The following is an 18,196-nucleotide window of genomic DNA, read 5'->3' on the forward strand; positions in this document are numbered from 1 at the left end:
TATTATTGGTCAATTCAGGGATTCGACTTCTTCCTGGTTTAGTCTTGGGAGGGTGTATGTGTCCAGGAATTTATCCGTGTCTTCTAGATTTTCTATTTTATTTGCATAGAGGTGTTTATAGTATTAGAGAATACTGTGGTATTCTCTGACGGTAGTTTGTATTTCTGTGGGACCAGTGGTGCCCAAAATCTCCTTAAGCGACAAGCAACTTCAGCAAAGTCTCAGGATAAAAAATCAATGTGCAAAAATCACAAGCATTCCTATACACCAATAACAGACAAACAGAGAGCCAAATCAAGAGTGAACTGCCATTCACAATTGCTGCAAAGAGAATAAAATATCTAGGAATACAACTTACAAGGGATGTGAAGGACCTCTTCAAGGAGAACTACAAACCACTGCTAAAGGACATAAGAGAGGACACAAACAAATGGAAAAACATTCCATGCTCATGGACAGTAAGAATCAATATTGTGAAAATGGCCATACTGTCCAAAGTAACTTATGGATTCAATGCTATCCCCATCAAGCTACCATTGACTTTCTTCACAGAATTAGAAAAAAACTACTTTAAATTTCATACGGAACCAAAACAGAGCCCATATAGCCAAGACAATCCTAAGCAAAAAGAACAAAGCTGAAGACATCACAATACCTGACTTCAAACTACACTACAAGGCTACAGTAACCAAAACAGCATGATTCTTGTACCAAAACAGATATATAGACCAATGGAACAGAATAGAGGCCTCAGAAATAACACCACACATCTACAACCATCTGATCTTTGACAAACCTGACAAAAACAAGCAATAGGGAAAGGATTCCCTATTTAATAAATGGTGTTGGGAAAACTGGCTAGCCATACGCAGAAAACTGAGACTGGGCCCCTTCTTTATACCTTATACAAAAATTAATTCAAGAAAGATCAAAGACTTAAACATAGGACCTAAAACCATAAAAACCCTAGAAGAAAACCTAGGCATTACCATTCAGGACATAGGCATGGGCAAGGACTTCATGTCTAAAACACCAAAAGCAATGGCAACAAAAACCAAAATTGATAAATGGGATCTAATTAAACTAAAGAGCTTCTGCACAGCAAAATAAACTATCATCAGAGTGAACAAGCAACCTACAGAATGGGAGAAAATTTTTGCAATCTATCCATCTGATAAAGGTCTAATATCCAGAATCTACAAGGAACTTAAACAAATTTACAAGAAAAAAACAACCCCATCAAAAAGTGGGCAAAGGATATGAACAGATGCTTCTCAAAAGAAGACATTTATGCAACCAACAAACATATGAAAAAAAGCTCATCATCACTGGTCATTAGAGAAATGCATATCAAAATCACAATGAGATACCATCTCACACCAGTTAGAGTGGCAATCATTAAAAAGTCGGGGAACAACAGATGCTGGAGAGGATGTGGAGAAATAGGAACACCTTTACACTGTTGGTGGGAGTGTAAATTAGTTCAACCATTGTGGAAGACAGTGTGGCAATTCCCCAAGGATCTAGAACCAGAAATACCATTTGACCCAGCAATCCCATTACTGGGTATATACCCAAAGGATTATAAATCATTCTACTATGAAGACACATGCACATGTATGTTTATTACAGCACTATTCACAATAGTAAAGACTTGGAACCAACCCAAATGCCCATCAATGACAGACTGGATAAAGAAAATGTAGCACATATACACCATGGAAAACTATGCAGCCATAAAAAAGGATGAGTTCATGTCTTTTACAGTAACATGGATGAAGCTGGAAACCATCATTCTCAGCAAACACAGGAACAGAAAAACAAACGCCACATGTTCTCACTCATAAGTGGGAGTTGAACAAAGAGAATACATGGACACAGGGAGGGGAACATCACACACAGGGGCCTATTGCGGGGTGGGGGGCTAGAGGAGGGATAGCATTAGGAGAAATACCTAATGTAGATGATGGGTTGATGGGTGCAGCAAACCACCATAGTACATTTATACCTATGTAACAAACCTGCACATATATTCCAGAACTCAAAGTATAATAAAGGCTGGGTGTGGTGGCTCACGCCTGTAATCCCAGTACTTTGGGAGGCTGAGGAGGACGGATCATCTGAGGTCAGGAGATCGAGACCATCCAGGCCATTGCATGGCTCTTTGCTGACTTCACTAAGGTCTCAGCTTAAATGTAACTTCCTCATATATACCTTCCTTGAGCAGTGTATCAAATACAACATTTCCCCACTTCCCAGCCCTGCCCTTGTCACTCCTTATTCTTTTCTCTTCTATTCTTCTTTGTAGTACTTACCACTATCTGACTTCACATTTGTGTTTATTGGCTTTCCCCCTACTGGAATACACGTGCTTTGAGGGGATGGTATTGGACATTCTATAAGAATGTGTATCAGCAGCACTGCTCTACTTCTGTAGCAAGATGTAATGTACTTCCTATTAACTTTGAATATAAATATATGTCTATCTTATATCTTGATCCCTCTACTTGGCTCCATAAGGACAAGAATTCTCATAGTACCCCCATAGCACTGAACCTGATACACTGACTTAACATTTGTTGATTAATTTTAGAACCTTATTAAAGTACATACAGTCTCTGACTTATGAGTGTCCAACTTAGAACTGTTCAGCTTTACAACAGTAGGAAAGTGATACTCATTCAGTAGAAACCACACTTCAAATTTTGAATTTTGATATTTTTCCAGACTAGTGATCTGTGGTATGATACTGTTTCATGATGCTGGACAGCAGCAGAGAGCCACAGCTCCTAATCAGCCACATGATCACAAAGGTAAACATCCAGTACTATAATCTACAGTATACTGTATTTGGCAAATTACATGAGATATCCAACACTTTATTATAAAATACGCTTTGTGTTAGATGATTTAGCCAAACTGAAAACTAATGTGAGTGTTGGAGTGTGTTTAAAGTAGGCTAAGCTAAGCTACAATGCTCCGTAGGTTAGGTGTATTAAATGTTTTTTTTTTTTTGTTTTTCGCTTTTTTTGAGATGGAATTTCACTCTTGTCATCCAGGCTGGAATGCAATGGCTCATTGCAACCTCCACCTCCTGGGTTCAAGCGATTCTTGTGCCTCCACCTGTGGAGCAGCTGTGATTACAGGCACTGGCCACCACACCCAGCTAATTTTTGTGTATTTAGTTACGACGGGGTTTCACCACGTTGGCCGGGCTGGTCTCGAACTTCTGACCTCAGGTGATCTGCCCGCCTTGGCCTCCCAAAGTGCTGGGATTGCAGGCGTGAGCCACTGCACCCAGCCTGTATTTTCAACTTAGTGCTATTTTCAACTTATGATGATCAGTTTATCAGGATGTAGCCCCATTGCAAGTTAAAGAGTATCTGTATTTGAGGAATACTTAAATAGAACTGTCTAAATTCATCAACTAATGTTCCACCATAGACTATATGACTGAACTTAATTTTACACAAGCATTTCCCTAAAAATATGTTCCTTACAGTTGTACTTTTACAAAATGATTCTTTTTTTAAGAGATGGGTCTTGCTCTGTCACCCAGACTGGAGTGTAGTGGTACAATCACAGCTCACTGCAGCCTCAAACTCCTGGGTTCAAGCAATCCTCTCGCCTCAACCTCCCAAGTAGCTGGGACTACAGGCGTGCTCCATCATACCCAGCTAATTGTGTTTGTGTGTGTGTCTGTGAAGAAATAGGGATCTCATTATATCATAGTGAGATAAGATCTCACTATGTTGCCCAGGCTGGTCTCAAACTAACTCCTGGGCTGAAATGATCCTCCCATTTTAGCCTCCTAAATTGCTGGGGTTGCAGATGTGAGTCACCATACCTGGCCAAAATTATTCTTTTATTTATTTGTATTTATTTATTTATTTTGAGATGAAATCTCACTCTGTCACCCAGGCTGGAGGGCAGTGGTGTGATCTTGGTTCACTGCTGCAACCTCCACCTCCCAGGTTGAAGCGATTCTCTTGCCTTAGCCTCCTGAGTAGCTGGGACTACACGCACATGCCACCACACCCTCTATTTTTAGTAGAAAAATTTTTTTGTTTTAGTAGAAATGTGCCACCACGCCCTGTATTTTTAGTAGAAAAATTTTTGTATTTTTAGTAGAAATGGGGTTTCACCATGTTGGCCAGACTGGTCTCGAACTGCTGACCCCAAATGATCCAGCTGCCTTGGCCTCCCAAAATGCTGGGATTACAGGCATGAGCCACTGCACCAGGCCCTCAAAATGATTCTTTTAAACAGTGAATAGACATTCTCAAAAGACATATAAAAGGCCACTAAGTAAATAAAAAATGTTCGACATCACTAATCATCAGAGAAATGCAAGTCAAAACCACAATTAGGTATTCTCTCAACCCAATTAAAATGGCTTTAATCAAAAAGAGGGAATAATGGATGCTGGCGAGGATGTGGAGAAAGGGGAACCCTTGTATACTGTTGGTGGGAATGTAAATTAGTAAAACCACTATGGAAAACAGTACAGAAGTTCCTAAAAACTTAAAATGGAACTGCCATATGAACCAGCAATCCCATTACTAGGTATATATCTAAAAGAAATGAAATCAATATATCAAAGACACATCTGCACTCCCATGTTCATTTCAACACTATTCACAATAGTCAAAATATGAAACCAACCTAAGTGGTCATCAATGGATGAATGGATAAATGTGGTATATATATATGGGAATATTATTCAGCCATTGAAACCATGAAATGCCATCATTTGGGGTAACATAGATGGAATTCATGGTCATTATGTTAAGTGAAATAAGCCAAGCACAGAAAGACAAATTATCACATGTTCTCACTCATGTGGGAGCTAAAAAAGTGAATCTCAGGTCGGCAGCGGTGGTTCACGCCTGTAATCCCAGCACTTTGGGAGGCTGAGGCGGGCAGATCATGAGGTCAGGAGATCGAGACCATCCTGGCTAACATGGTGAAATCCGTCTGTACTAAAAATAAAAAAAAAAATTAGCCAGGTGTGATGGCATGTGCCTGTAGTCCCAGCTACTTGGGAGGCTGAGGCGTGAGAATCGCTGGAACCCAGGAGGTGGAGGTTGCAGTGAGCTGAGATCGTGCCACTGCACTCCAGCCTGGGCAACAGAGCGAGACTCCGTCACAAAAAAAAAAAAAAAAAAAAAAAAAAAGAATCTCATGAAGATAGAGAGTAGATTGGTGAGCCCAGGAAACAAAGCAAGATCTTGTCTCTACAAAAAGTTAAAAAAAAAAAAAAAAATTAGCCAGGCATTATGGCACATGCCTGTAGTCCTAACTACTCATGAAGCTGAGACAGGAGGATTGCTTCAGCCCAGGAGTCTGAGGCTGCCATGAGCTATGATCACTCCACTCCACTCCATTCTGGGCAACAGAGTGAGACGCCATCTTTTACAAAAAGAAAAAAAAAAAGAAGAAAAGAAAGAAAGAGACTAGATTGGTAGTTACCAGAGGCCACGAATAATAGCGGGAAGGAGGCAATAAACAATAGTTGATTAATAGGTACAAATACACAGTTAGAAGAAATAAGACCTAGTTTTCAATAGCTCAGTAGGGTGACTATAGTTAGCAATAATTTAGTGTACATGTCAAAAGCTAGAAAAGAGTAATTCAAATGTTCCTAGCATAAAGAAAAGGTAAATATTTAAAGTGATGGTATCCCAATTATCTTGATTTGATCTTTATACATTATACGAATGTATCAAATGATCACTCATACCCCAAACATATGTACATCTATCATGTATCAATTAAAAAACACTTATGCTGGGCGCAGTGGCTCATGCCTGTAATCCCAACACTTTGGGAGACTGAGGCTGGAGGATTGCGTGAGCCCAGGAATGAGACTAGCCTGGGCAACATAGTGAGATAATATCTCTACAAAAAATAAAAATAAAAGAAATTAGCCAGGTGTGGTGGTCATGCCTGTAGTCCAGCTATTCAGGAGGCTGAGATGAGAGGATCTCTTGAGCCCATCAGGCTGCACTGAGCCATGATTGCACCACTGCATTCCAGTATGGGTAACAATACGAGACCTTGTCTCAAAAAAAAAAAGAGTGTTGTGTGGTCTGGGAAATGACACAAATTTTATTTGCCATGATGATGATATAGAATATATATACTATGGATAGAAGTTCTAGAATAAGTTTGGTAATCTTAACCAAGATTTTCCAAACTTAACCATGAATCTTTTTTGTTGCACAATATATATTACAATACAGTAGAACAATGGTTTATGAAATATACTTTCAGGAAAACATAGTAGACAAAAGATAAATAAGAGTCAATTATATACTTTGTGAGAAATTTTGTTTTACCAAAGAAATGCTGTAATGTATAGAAATATGATAATCTCTTAATAAATTGTAAATTTGTGTGCAAAAAAAAGCTTTAAATTATTTTCCTGGTATATCCATTTGCATTGTTAGCTCTGTTTTTTGTTTTATTTTTTAAAAACAGACATAAAACCAAAAACACTTAACTTACTTTTTGGAAAGCAACTTAACTCCTAAGAAAATAACAACGGCTTCAACCCCAAGAGCAGCAAGTATTATGCCATTATATAACACAGCTTGTTCTTGAGTCCAGGCATACATATCCATTGTTAATGGAGTAATGATGCTAAGAAAAAAAAAATTATTCTTATTTTATTTAAATCACAGTAACTGTTATACTTAAAGTGAAGTGTAAGTTTTAATAACGACATCTACACATTCAAGAATGTGCATGCCTTTTAGCAATGACAACAGACCTAAGCAAAAGTTTGAACACATTTTAAGCGTTTGTTGTTACATACCTAAGTTACTAAGTCTGCCTACTCATATTTTACTTCCTAATGTTTATTTTAATTATATAACTAATATAGCCATATTACAGAAAGTCTGAAACAAAGGAAAAGGAAACAAGCCACACCAATCATAATGCCTATCATTCTAACATTACTAAATAATCATGGTTATATTTTTAATTAAATTGGTCTCTTTCAATGCAATAATGTTATATTAAGTTATCAGAATATACTGGATTTTTGAATATATATATTTTTCTCTTTGCCTCTCAATGTCTCTTCCTTTATATGACTATATCCTTCCTTGCCAAGTTTCTCTCCCTACATTCGATCTCTATTAACTGACTACAAAATGCAATTTATATTTATTGTTTATTACTATTATTTTTGAGACGCCAAAGTCTCACTCTGTCACCTGGGCTGGAGTGCAGTGGCATGATCTTGGCTCACTGCAACCTCCATCTCCTGGGTTCAAGCAATTCTCCTGCCTCAGCTTCCTGAGTAGCTGGGACTAAAGGCGCCTGCCACCATACCCAGTTAATTTTTGTATTTTTAGTATAGACAGGGTTTCACCATATGGCCAGGCTGGTCTTGAACTCCTGACCTCAAGTGATACACCTGCCTCAACCTCCCAAAGTTCTGCGATTACAGGCGTGAGCCACCGCACCCAGTCTGAAATTTATTTAACATTGTTTAATTGGTATGTTACTGTTTAATGGGTATGGAACTTCTGTTTAGGATGATGAAAACATTCTGGAAATAGCTAGTGGTCATGGTTGTACAACATTGTGAATGCACTTAATGCTACTGAACTGCATACCTTAAAAATAGCTAACATGATAGTGCCAGGCGCGGAGGCTCACGTCTGTAATCCCAGCACTTTGGGAGGCCAAGGTGAGCAAATCACTTGAGCCCAGGAGTTCGAGATCAGCCTGGGCAACATGGGGAAATCCTGTCTCTACAAAAAATATAAACAAATTAGCTGAGCATGGTGGCGCATGCCTGTGGTCCCAGCTACTTAGAGGGCTGAGGCTGGAAGGTCACCTGAGCCCAGGAGGTCAAGGCTGCAGTGAGCCGTGATTGCACCACTGCACTCCAGCCTGGGTGACAGAGTGAGACCCTGTCTCAAAACAAAACAAAAAAAGTTAACACGATAAATTTTATGTTATGTATATTTTCCCACAATAAAAAATTGCCCCTAAAATATCAGGTGAGCTGGAACTTTCATATATCTCAATAATTTTGAAAATAAAAACACCAAGCAAACCTACAAGTACTAACATAAAAATGACACAATGTATTAACAAGTAAATAAACCAAGTTGTCAAATGATAATATCACATAATCTATGTAAGTTTAATAGATACATGTATATACATACACTCTTATACATACATAGGAAAAATGTTTGAAAAAACACAAACTAAAGTATTAGCAGTGGTTACTTTCACAGAAAGGAGTGGATATAGAAATACAGTTGTAATATTTGGGATTTGAATGTACTATTTTTATAATTTCATGGAAAGTTATTTTAAAAATAAAACAGCCATATGATAAAGGTCAATAAAGCCTGCACAAGGCAGAGATTTTGTAATATACTAGGTTTTTCTTCAAGGTCAGGTATTAAATTGAGTTAAAATTACCAGATTGAATCATATATATATATACATATATGTAGGAAATTATAGAGCTTAAGGATAATTAAATCATGGCACTAAAGTTTTATAACTGTATTTATCATAAAACTCAGATGAAAGAGGGAAAGAGTAGTGAAACAGATTCTTTTATAAGAAAATAAGATAAGGTAGTTAAGATTATGGACAAATAATTAACTACATTCAAGTTACAAGCAACAAAATGTATATACATTTTTTACATCATGGTAAGAAAAATTTGCCTTACATAAGATTTTCAATAACATCTATATGCCTAATTAACATTGCATTAAGAAATAAAGGTTAAAACATAATCTGATTCAGATGAAGATGGAATAAAACTTACGTTTCAAAAAGGGCAAAGATAAATAGAGTCACAAAAAACAGAACATTGATGGCCACAACAGCAACCTGGTCAATATTTCCTTGGGGAACCTGAGCTTCATCTGTACTTGCTATAGGGAAATAGGAGAAAAATTACATTACCTATACATCTAATTTTTCTTATGACATTAAAGTAATGTAGAAATTACATTGTAGCAAAATTTATAAATAAACATTTAAAAAAATTTTTAGGCTTCAAAGTAGTTTAATAATAAGAGAATTTGTTTATTTTTATTTTTTGAGACAGGGTCTCACTCTGTCACCCAGACTAGAGTGCAGTGTCATGATCACAGCTCACTGCAGCCTTGACCTCCCCAGGCTCAGGTGATCCTCCTACCTCAGCCTCCCAAGAAGCTGGGGCTACAGATGTACTACCACGCCCAGCTAATTTTTATATTTTTTGTAGAGATGAGGTTTCATCATGCTACCCAGTCTGGGCTTGAACTCCTGAGCTCAACCAGTCCGCCCGCCTTGGCCTCCCAAAGTGTTGGGATTACACGTGTGAGCCACTGTGCATGGCCAACAATAAGATAATTTATATGACAGAAATAATTTTTAAATGGCATTTAAAAGCAAGGTGAATTTTCTTCCCCAGAGATATACTTCAATCCTGTTATCTTAAGAAATACTCAGATGTATTTTGTACTTGGTATATCTCAATCCAAAAATGGGAATGTAATTTATAGAACTCTGTTAACATAGTGATCTCATACTAAATATATTTGCTTTAAATTTCAACTGCAGATTTTTTCCACCTTACTTAAATCTTAGACTTACAAGAATTTCATGAAGAACTCCAGTGGTTTATTAAATCAGTTCCCAGTTCTATGATTTACTACAATGGATATATATTTTGAATTTCAGTGTTACATGAAATTAGTACTCATGGCCAGGAGTGGTGGCTCATACATGTAATCCCAGCAGGTGGGATTACATGTGGTTTACATGTGGATTACATGTGGATTACAGCAGGTGGGAGGCCAGTGCAGGTGGATCACCTGAGGTCAGAAGTTTGAGACCAGCCTGGCCAACATGGCAAAACCCCATCTCTACTAAAAATACAAAAAAGAATTAGCCGGGCGTGGTGCCACATGCCTGTAATCTCAGCCACTTGAGAGGCTGAGGCACGAGAATTGCTTTAACCAGGAGACTGAGGTTGCAGTGAGCCAAGATTGAGCCACTGCACTTCAGCCTGGGTGACAGAGACCCTGTCTCAAAAAATAAATAAATAAATAACAAGAAATTAGTATTCGTAAAGATCCTTATGTTATCATTACCATTTTAAAAACCCCTATCATTTATATTTCTGCAAAGAAATAATCAGGATTTGACGGTGGTTTTATAAATAAGGAGGACAAAGTAAGTGTACTGACTTCTCATCTTGAACAACGCCTTAAGGTTAATACACATTAAGCTATTCTTGATGTAACTGAGAATCATGCAGACATATTAATCTACTCATATATATTCATCACACTGTTTTGTAATTTATCCACTTATTCAGAATAAAATAGTATTTTTACACAAATAAATACCAAAATAAGCCAGGTATTTTTTTTTTTTTTTTTTGGCGGGGGGGACGGAGTCTTGCTCTGTTGCCAGGCTGGAGTGCAGAGACCCGATCTCTGCTCAATGCAACCCCCAACTCCCGGGTTCAAGCGATTCTCCTGTCTCAGTCTCCCGAGTAGCTGGGACTACAGCTATTTTTGTATTTTTAGTAGAGATGGGGTTTCACCATGTTGGCCAGGATAGTCTCAATCTCTTGACCTCGTGATCTGCCCGCCTCGGCCTCCCAAAGTGCTGGGATTACAGGTGTGAGCCACCACGCCCAGCCTATGCCAGGTATTAATACATAAAATATTACAAAAATATGTTTATTTATGCTATCTTAAATTGTGTGTAGTGTCAGTTGTTGTTAGTGGGTGGGTGGGGGGGCTTTCCTAAGATGCAGTAAGTTTCTATGATTTTTTTCATAATAATGCCTGCTTTTCTATCTCAGGATTCTTGAGAAGGAGTTCCTCCTCCAACAATAAGTAGATTTGGAAATAGTCTGCTATACTTAAAGGGAATTAAGCACCTTGGATGCTCAACATAGCCTTATGACCTTCCTTTGTAATCACACAAAGAGAACTGGCCACCTTTGTCCAGAACCTTTGCCAGGGGTAGGCCCTGATGGTTGTGGCTCTTGTACTATTTTGGATAGACCTCTCTGATTCTTAATCACCACCTAGAAGTCAGTCTTTACTCCTTCAAGTCAGTATCAATATTGCCCCAAGTCAGACTGGAGTTTGCTTCATAATATGTGGTTAGTTTCCTATAGCTTCTACTCAGTGTTGGCTTCAGTGGGGTATCTCAGAAATGTTGCATCCTAGACTATGGGGATTGACTAGATATCCTAATTACACATTTTTTAAAAGACTACATTAGTATATGGATTCAAATTCTATGCAATTAGAAATTATAATCCTGTCTCATAATAACCTCTTTAAATTTGAATAGCTTTAAATTAAAACAATTATGGAAGTTTTTACCAGACATATTTTATGCAAACATTTATTGAAATTTAAAAATTTTATTTTATAAAAATTATTTTGAAGTAACTAGAAATCTCATAAAAGAAAACACTACATCTTCTCTAAACTCATTCCCATTTGTACTTTAGAACAGTGCTGCCCAACAGAACTGTGACATGACGGAAATGTTATTTATCTATGCTAATACAGTGGCCACTAGCCACATATACCCATTATTGAGCACTTGAAATGTGGCTAGTATGACAGAAAATAATTTCTTAAATTTACTTTATTTAAATAGCCACATGTGGCTAATGGCTACTATATTGGGCAGCATAGCTCTCAATCTTTGCTGCACAAAGTGTGATTTGTAGACCAGAAGCATCACATCACATGGTAGTTTGTTGTAAATGTAGATGCTCAGCATCTCACTAGGGTTGCCAGATTTAGTAAATATACAGGAGACCCAGTTAAATTTAAATTTCAGATAAACAATAAGTGTTAATATAAATATGTTCTGTGCCATATTTGAAAGTTAAGTATAAGAATGTTCCATGAAGTATTTGGATTGTATTTATACTTTTTTTTTTTCTTTTTGAGACAGAGCCTCACTCTGTCACCCAGGCTGGAGTACGTGGCGTGATATCGGCTCACTGCAACTTCTGCCTCCCAGGTTCAAGCGATTCTCCTGCCTCAGCCTCATGAGTAGCTGGGATTACAGGCGCCTGCCATCACACCCAGCTAATATTTATATTTTTAGCAGAGACAGGGTTTCACCATGTTGGCCAAGGGTGGTCTTGAACTCCTGACCTCAGGTGATCCACCTGCTTTGGCCTCCCAAAGTGCTGGGATTACAGGCATGAGCCACTGTGCCCAGCTGGATTGTATTAATACTAAAAGTTATTTGTTTCCAGGTGCAGTGGCTCACACCTGTAATCCTAGCACTTTGGGAGGCCCAGGGAGGCAGATCACTTGAGTCCAGGAGTTTAAGGCCAGCCTGGACAATATGGCAAGATCCTGTCTCTATTAAAGAAAAAAAAACCAACGTTATTTGTTGTTTATTGAAATCCAAATTTAACTGGGTGGGACATATTTATATTAAAACATTATTAAAATTTAATTGGGCATTCTGTGTTTTATTTTTTATTATAAATTATATATTTTTATATTTCTTTATTAACTCCCCTATTCTGAGAAGCAACATCCTGTGTTTTACAGGCAACCCTATTAAGTATCACCCTAAGCCTAATGAATCAGAATTTGCATCTTAACAAGGTTCCCAGGTGATTTCTAAGCACATTAAAGTAAATGAAGCACTGATGTATATCATTATCCCCTTCCAAGTTCTGAAATACTGATTTTTACATATCTTCCCTTTGTCATACCTCTACCTCACCCTCTTAACTTCCTCCGTCACTTTACCTGATAGCTCCTTGAAGTTAGCATCCTATTTTTTACCTTTGAAAAAAGGAGTTTATACGCACTGCTGGCACTTCACCTCTCATTCTTTGTGTTTTATTTTGAAAGTTTTCAAACATATTCTCACATATTCATTCCTCAGATTCAACAATCTTTTGCCACACTTGAATCATCATGCCATCCTTTCTCTCACTCCCTTTCTGCTGCCATAGTGTGTTTCACTGGGTGACTCATAAATTTTTATCTCTAGCTTTTATTTCTACTGTCAAAATTACAAATGCCTGTGGGATTTTTTAGTTGTTCTAGAGTAACAGCATATTCAGCTTGATCCAAATTGAAATCATCTTCTCTTTTCATCTAACCTCCCTTCCTAAATTCTTGTTCTCTCTCATTCTTCCAGGTGATCTAGAATCAAAACCTGGCAGCAATGTTGGCTTTCTCTAATCCTTAATATTCTCTATCCAAATCTCTATCTTGATTCCTCTTTCAACAACTCCTACTTATCCCTTCTCCATTCTCAGTCACTGCCCTACTTCAGGCCTAGTCAAAATTAATACTTTTACACTGTCTTCCTGAGTCATCCACACAATGTTCTCTTAAAAAGAAAAACACAAATATTGTACCTATGAAAAGCTTAATAAAGAAATTGTTTAAATTTGTTACTGGCATTGTATTTTTTTCACATTTGATACAGTTTCTTTTACTGGCTTTTCAGTAATGAAATTGTTACCAATGAGATATTACCAGTGAGATATAACCAATCTGGATTAGCCTCTGCATGGAATCAATGTCAAACTTCTCCTAGTTCAAAAACTTACTGTAGCTCCTCACCACTCTGCTCTACTACATTTATCTTCCACTATTTCTTTTGTGAAAATTAAATAAAAGAGCTATGAAAGTACCTGGTAAAATAGTAAAATAATACTATGTCTTTTCCACAACTTTATGAACTACTGAGGGCCAGGATCAGTCCTTGCATTCTTTCCGCAAGGAGGATATAATTAGTACCTAAATAACAGGTTTTTTTTTGGTAAAATATAGCTACTTACTGGGTTCTCTGGCTTATATGAATCAGAGAAGATCTAAAAGATGAAAATGTATATTTCTAAAGTATACCAAAACAACAAAAATAAAAAGGCAAAACCATACCCATTTTCATACTTAAGATAATAAAGAACTGCTTTAAATAGACATATTTATTTGGTAGTAAAGATATGGAAATCATTGCAAATATCTCAAAGGCTTTAGGATACTGGCTCTCTGAAAATAAGACAAAGCGATTTTTTACAATGTTTGTAACCTTGTCAATCATGACCACCAAATAACCAATATGGGTATGCCTCTTTAAAAAAAATCAATTTGCTCACGCCTGTAATCCCAGCACTTTGGGAGGCCGAGGCGGGTGGATCACAAGGTCAGGAGATCGAGACCATCCTGGCTAACATGGTGAAACCCCATCTCTACTAAAAATACAAAAAATTAGCCAGGCGTGGCGGCATGCGCCTGTAGTCCCAGCTACTCAGGAGGCTGAGGCAGGAGGATGGCATGAACCCCGGAGGCAGAGCTTGCAGTGAGCAGAGATCGCACCACTGCACTCCAGCCTGGGCGACAGAGCGAAACTCTGTCTCAAAAAAAAAAAAATAAATAAATAAATAAATAAATAAATAAATAAATAAATAAATTTAGGTCACTTTCAGCTTTGAAGATCTTCCCCAATCACCCACTGTGTTGTCCTCAGAAGCAAAATCGAAGTAAATACCAAACAAACAGAATCATTAGAAACACTTTGATAATGTTATATTAATTCAGCCAAATGGGTTAAAAGTACCTTCTTCAAAATTAATACTTTTACACTGTCTTCCTGAGTCATCCACACGATGTTCTCTTAAAAAGAAAAACACAAATATTGTACCTATAAAATGCTTAATAGAGAAGTTGTTTAAATTTATTATCGGCATTGTATTTTTTTTCACATTCTAATATAGTTTCTTTTATTGGTTTTTCAGTAATAAAACTGTTACCAATGAGATATAACCAATAAACTTAAGACAGAAGTTACAATTCTTATCAAATTATCATAAACAGGTAAAATGAAAAAAATCCAACTCATCCTAAAGCATACATGATCTACTTTAGTATTTGAAGTTTTACAGTGATTATAAACATTAGTAATAAATGTTTTTAGACTATTGAATAAAGCACTCTAAATAAAACATAATTTTAAAAAATTTTTTCGAATATATAAAAGATAAGAGATATACATTACTAGTAACTTTTATATTTAAGACTGATACAAATCCATTAATCTATTTAAAATGTTACTTCCATGCCTTTCCCCTACTTAGCAACATGTAGTTAGTAAATCAAGACCAAACCTTGAGGCCGGGCACAGCCTCACATGGCCTCATGCCTGTAATCCCAGCACTTTGGGAGGCCGAGGTGGGCAGATCACTTTGAGGTCAGGAGTTCAAGATCAGCCTGGCCAACATGGTGAAACAAAAATTAGCTGGATGTGTTGGCATGCACCTGTAGCCCCAGCTACTCGGGAAGCTGAGGTATGAGAATCCTTGAATCCGGGAGATGGAGGTTGCATTGAGCCGAGATAGTGCCACTGCCCTCCAGTCTGAGCAACAGAGTAAGATCTTGTCTCAAAAAAAAAAAAAAAAAAAAAAAAAAAACTTTGAATCTTCAAAGACCTTCCTTTTCTGTTCTCATTTATCAGGTTGTCTTTTGGTTGCCAGTATTACATGCTTTAGTACTACCTGACCAAAAAATATAAACAAACTATAGACATAAAAAACTACGTACACTTCATAAGGATAATTATCTTCCAACAATTACAAAGCTCATTAAATTTCACAATCTACAAAAATAGTTTTATCATTTCTATCTAATTACCTTAGTATGGCAAGGATCAGAATAATATTTAAAATTCCCAGGAAGGCGCTAAGTAAAACTGGTGTTGTATACATGTTTATCTGCAGTTTAATCACATCCCATGTCACACCTTTTTCTCCAAGGAATGTAAAACAAGTCTGAAAAACTTATTAAGATAAAATTTTCACAGATGAATTATTATATGAGAAGCATAGGATAAAAAAATGAAAAAGACATTTACAACAGAATTGGGAACAATGTTATGGAATCATCCTTCTATATCATGCATTCTCAACAGATGGAATTGGTTCTTGATGGGGGGTCAAAAAATTTCCTCTTTTTATGTATAAAGCAGGTATGTACAGATATACATATGGTACATAAAAGATATATGACACATCTGTGGCACTAAAATTTTATGGGGTAAAGAGAGTAGGAAAAAAATACCGAAAAAGGCTCCTTAGGGAGACAATAATGAAAAAAAGGTTGTGAAACACTGATTTACATGCATTCACAAGGAATTGTATCTTACATAACTTCTCAGTTTTTTACAAAACATCTCCATAGGCAATTTAAATTATACAATTTCTTCCAAAAATTAATTATAAAGGTTTAATCAGCTTCATTATAAGAATGAAAATATCATATTTTAGACCAGATATCTTAAATATTATTCTGTATATGGTATATATATATATATATATATATGTGTGTGTGTGTATATATTTATTATCATTTGACCATAGTATTATATACAAGTAAAATGAAAAAAAAAAATTATTTCATCCAAAAGCATACATAATCCACCTTAGTATTTGAAGTTTTTTTTAGTGATTTTAAACATTAGTTAGAAGTGTTTTTGGACTGCTGGATAAAGCACTCTAAAGAAATATGAAGTGGCAAAATCTAATTTGGATCTGTGGCAAAAACTCAATTGGAAGAGTACTGGTTTGCTCTTCTGATTTAGATTCAATATGTGGCTCTATAGTAATTCACATATAACTCTAGGGTGAGGACTAAAATATTGCACCTACCGTACTTAGAACAGTGACTAGCATACAGTAAGCACACAATAAATGTTAGTGCTTGTTGAGGGCTTATTATTGGAAAAGTCATCGAAGCTTTTCAGGCTTACATTTACTCATCTATAATGCAAAATTTTTAAATGACATAATCTTTAAAATGCTTTTAAGGTGGTAAAAAATATTTACTAAGAACATAAGTCTATACCAGGTATTATGCTAGATACTGAGGGTAGACTGGTAAATAAAGACTCAAACCATGTCCTCATGTACTTTACAATATAGTATTCAAGTTCAATTATTCTACATTTGTGCTTGTATTTGTTTCAGGGTACAAAACTGAAATAGTAGATTTTGGTGAACAGTGAATTAGATTCCCTTCTGTTGAGCCTTTTCTTTTTGGCTAAATAGAGGAACGTAATGGAAACTGGGGGTGGGAGATGGGGTGTTAATGATGAAGTAAGCTGAGTTGGATTCAAACTGATAATATTCATAACTTCAATATTCAAAATATGGACCAATTATATGGTTTTTCAATATTATTCTAGGCATGAAAATGACTGATTCTTTACTCAGCAGAAAATTAATTTGCCTTGAGGAAATACTAAATCTCATTAATTTTTTTTGAGACAGAGTCTCGCGCTTGTTGCCCAAGCTGGAGTGCAATGATGTGATCTCAGCTCACTGCAACCTCTGCCTCCGAGTTCAAGCGATTCCCCTGCCTCAGCCTCCCAAGTAGCTGGGATTACAGGTGCCCGCCACCACACCTGGCTAATTTTTGTATTTTTAGTAGAGATGGGGTTTCACCATGTTGGCCAGGCTGGTCTCAAACTCCTGACCTCAGGTGATCTGCCTTCCACAGACCCCCAAAGTGCTGAGATTACAGGTGTGGACCACCACGCATGGCCTCACTAATTTTTTTAACACTCAGCAAAAGGGTGACCTTGGACAATTTACTTAGATTCTCTATGCACTGGCACTCTCAACTATAAAAGGGGACTAATAGCACTTAATTTAGTGGATTGGCATCAAGATAAAATGAGTGTAGCCTCATTCCTGGATTAAAAAAAAAATTAGCTTTCCTCCCTTTCCCTTCAGCTATGAGTTTTTATACTTGGGTTACACTGAATATTTAAGCCTCAAAAGTTTTCCCAATTCAAATTCAAGTAATGACATGTGAAGAACACCTACCTGGACCTAGAATAAAACCTAATGCTTGACACATGCTTATGTTTGCCATGGAACTTGTTCTTTCCTGAAGGGAAGTAGCACCAGCAGTATATGATCTAACAACTGCTACATTTCCTTAAAAACAAGACACAATAATCCAAAGTAAAAGAAAGTATCATTCAGCTTATAAAATTCAATCCAATTTGACTTTATACAGAAGAAGAAATCTTGGTCAACAGTACAGTCACTGCTTCCTCTTTATGATCACACAAAGCATGTAAGGTATTTTTATTAAGCAAATGCATCAATTAATGGACCATACTAGTTTTGGTAATATGAAAACAG

The 18,196-nt window shown here is 36.7% G+C and overlaps 1 protein-coding gene across 22 annotated transcripts in view; it reads right to left on the reverse strand.

Moving 5' to 3' along the window:
• MFSD8 (major facilitator superfamily domain containing 8) overlaps nt 1-18,196 on the reverse strand; it is a 48,232-nt gene that overhangs the window by 6,441 nt on the left and 23,595 nt on the right. For 6 of the 22 annotated variants that reach the window (NM_001371590.2, NM_152778.4, NM_001437269.1 and 3 more), the window contains 5 exons: nt 17,873-17,986; nt 15,681-15,825; nt 14,611-14,666; nt 8,813-8,921; nt 6,511-6,645 (listed from right to left, as the gene is read on the reverse strand). In NM_001371590.2, the coding sequence (NP_001358519.1) occupies nt 6,511-6,645; nt 8,813-8,921; nt 14,611-14,666; nt 15,681-15,825; nt 17,873-17,986 (559 nt within the window). Of the gene's footprint in view, nt 1-6,510; nt 6,646-8,812; nt 8,922-14,610; nt 14,667-15,680; nt 15,826-17,866; nt 17,987-18,196 lie in introns of those variants that run through there. The other 16 variants (XM_024453982.2, NM_001410766.1, NM_001371593.2 and 13 more) reach the window with 6 other exon arrangements.

The sequence above is a fragment of the Homo sapiens genome, chromosome 4 (assembly GCF_000001405.40).
Source record: "Homo sapiens chromosome 4, GRCh38.p14 Primary Assembly".
NCBI classification, from domain to species: domain Eukaryota; kingdom Metazoa; phylum Chordata; class Mammalia; order Primates; family Hominidae; genus Homo; species Homo sapiens.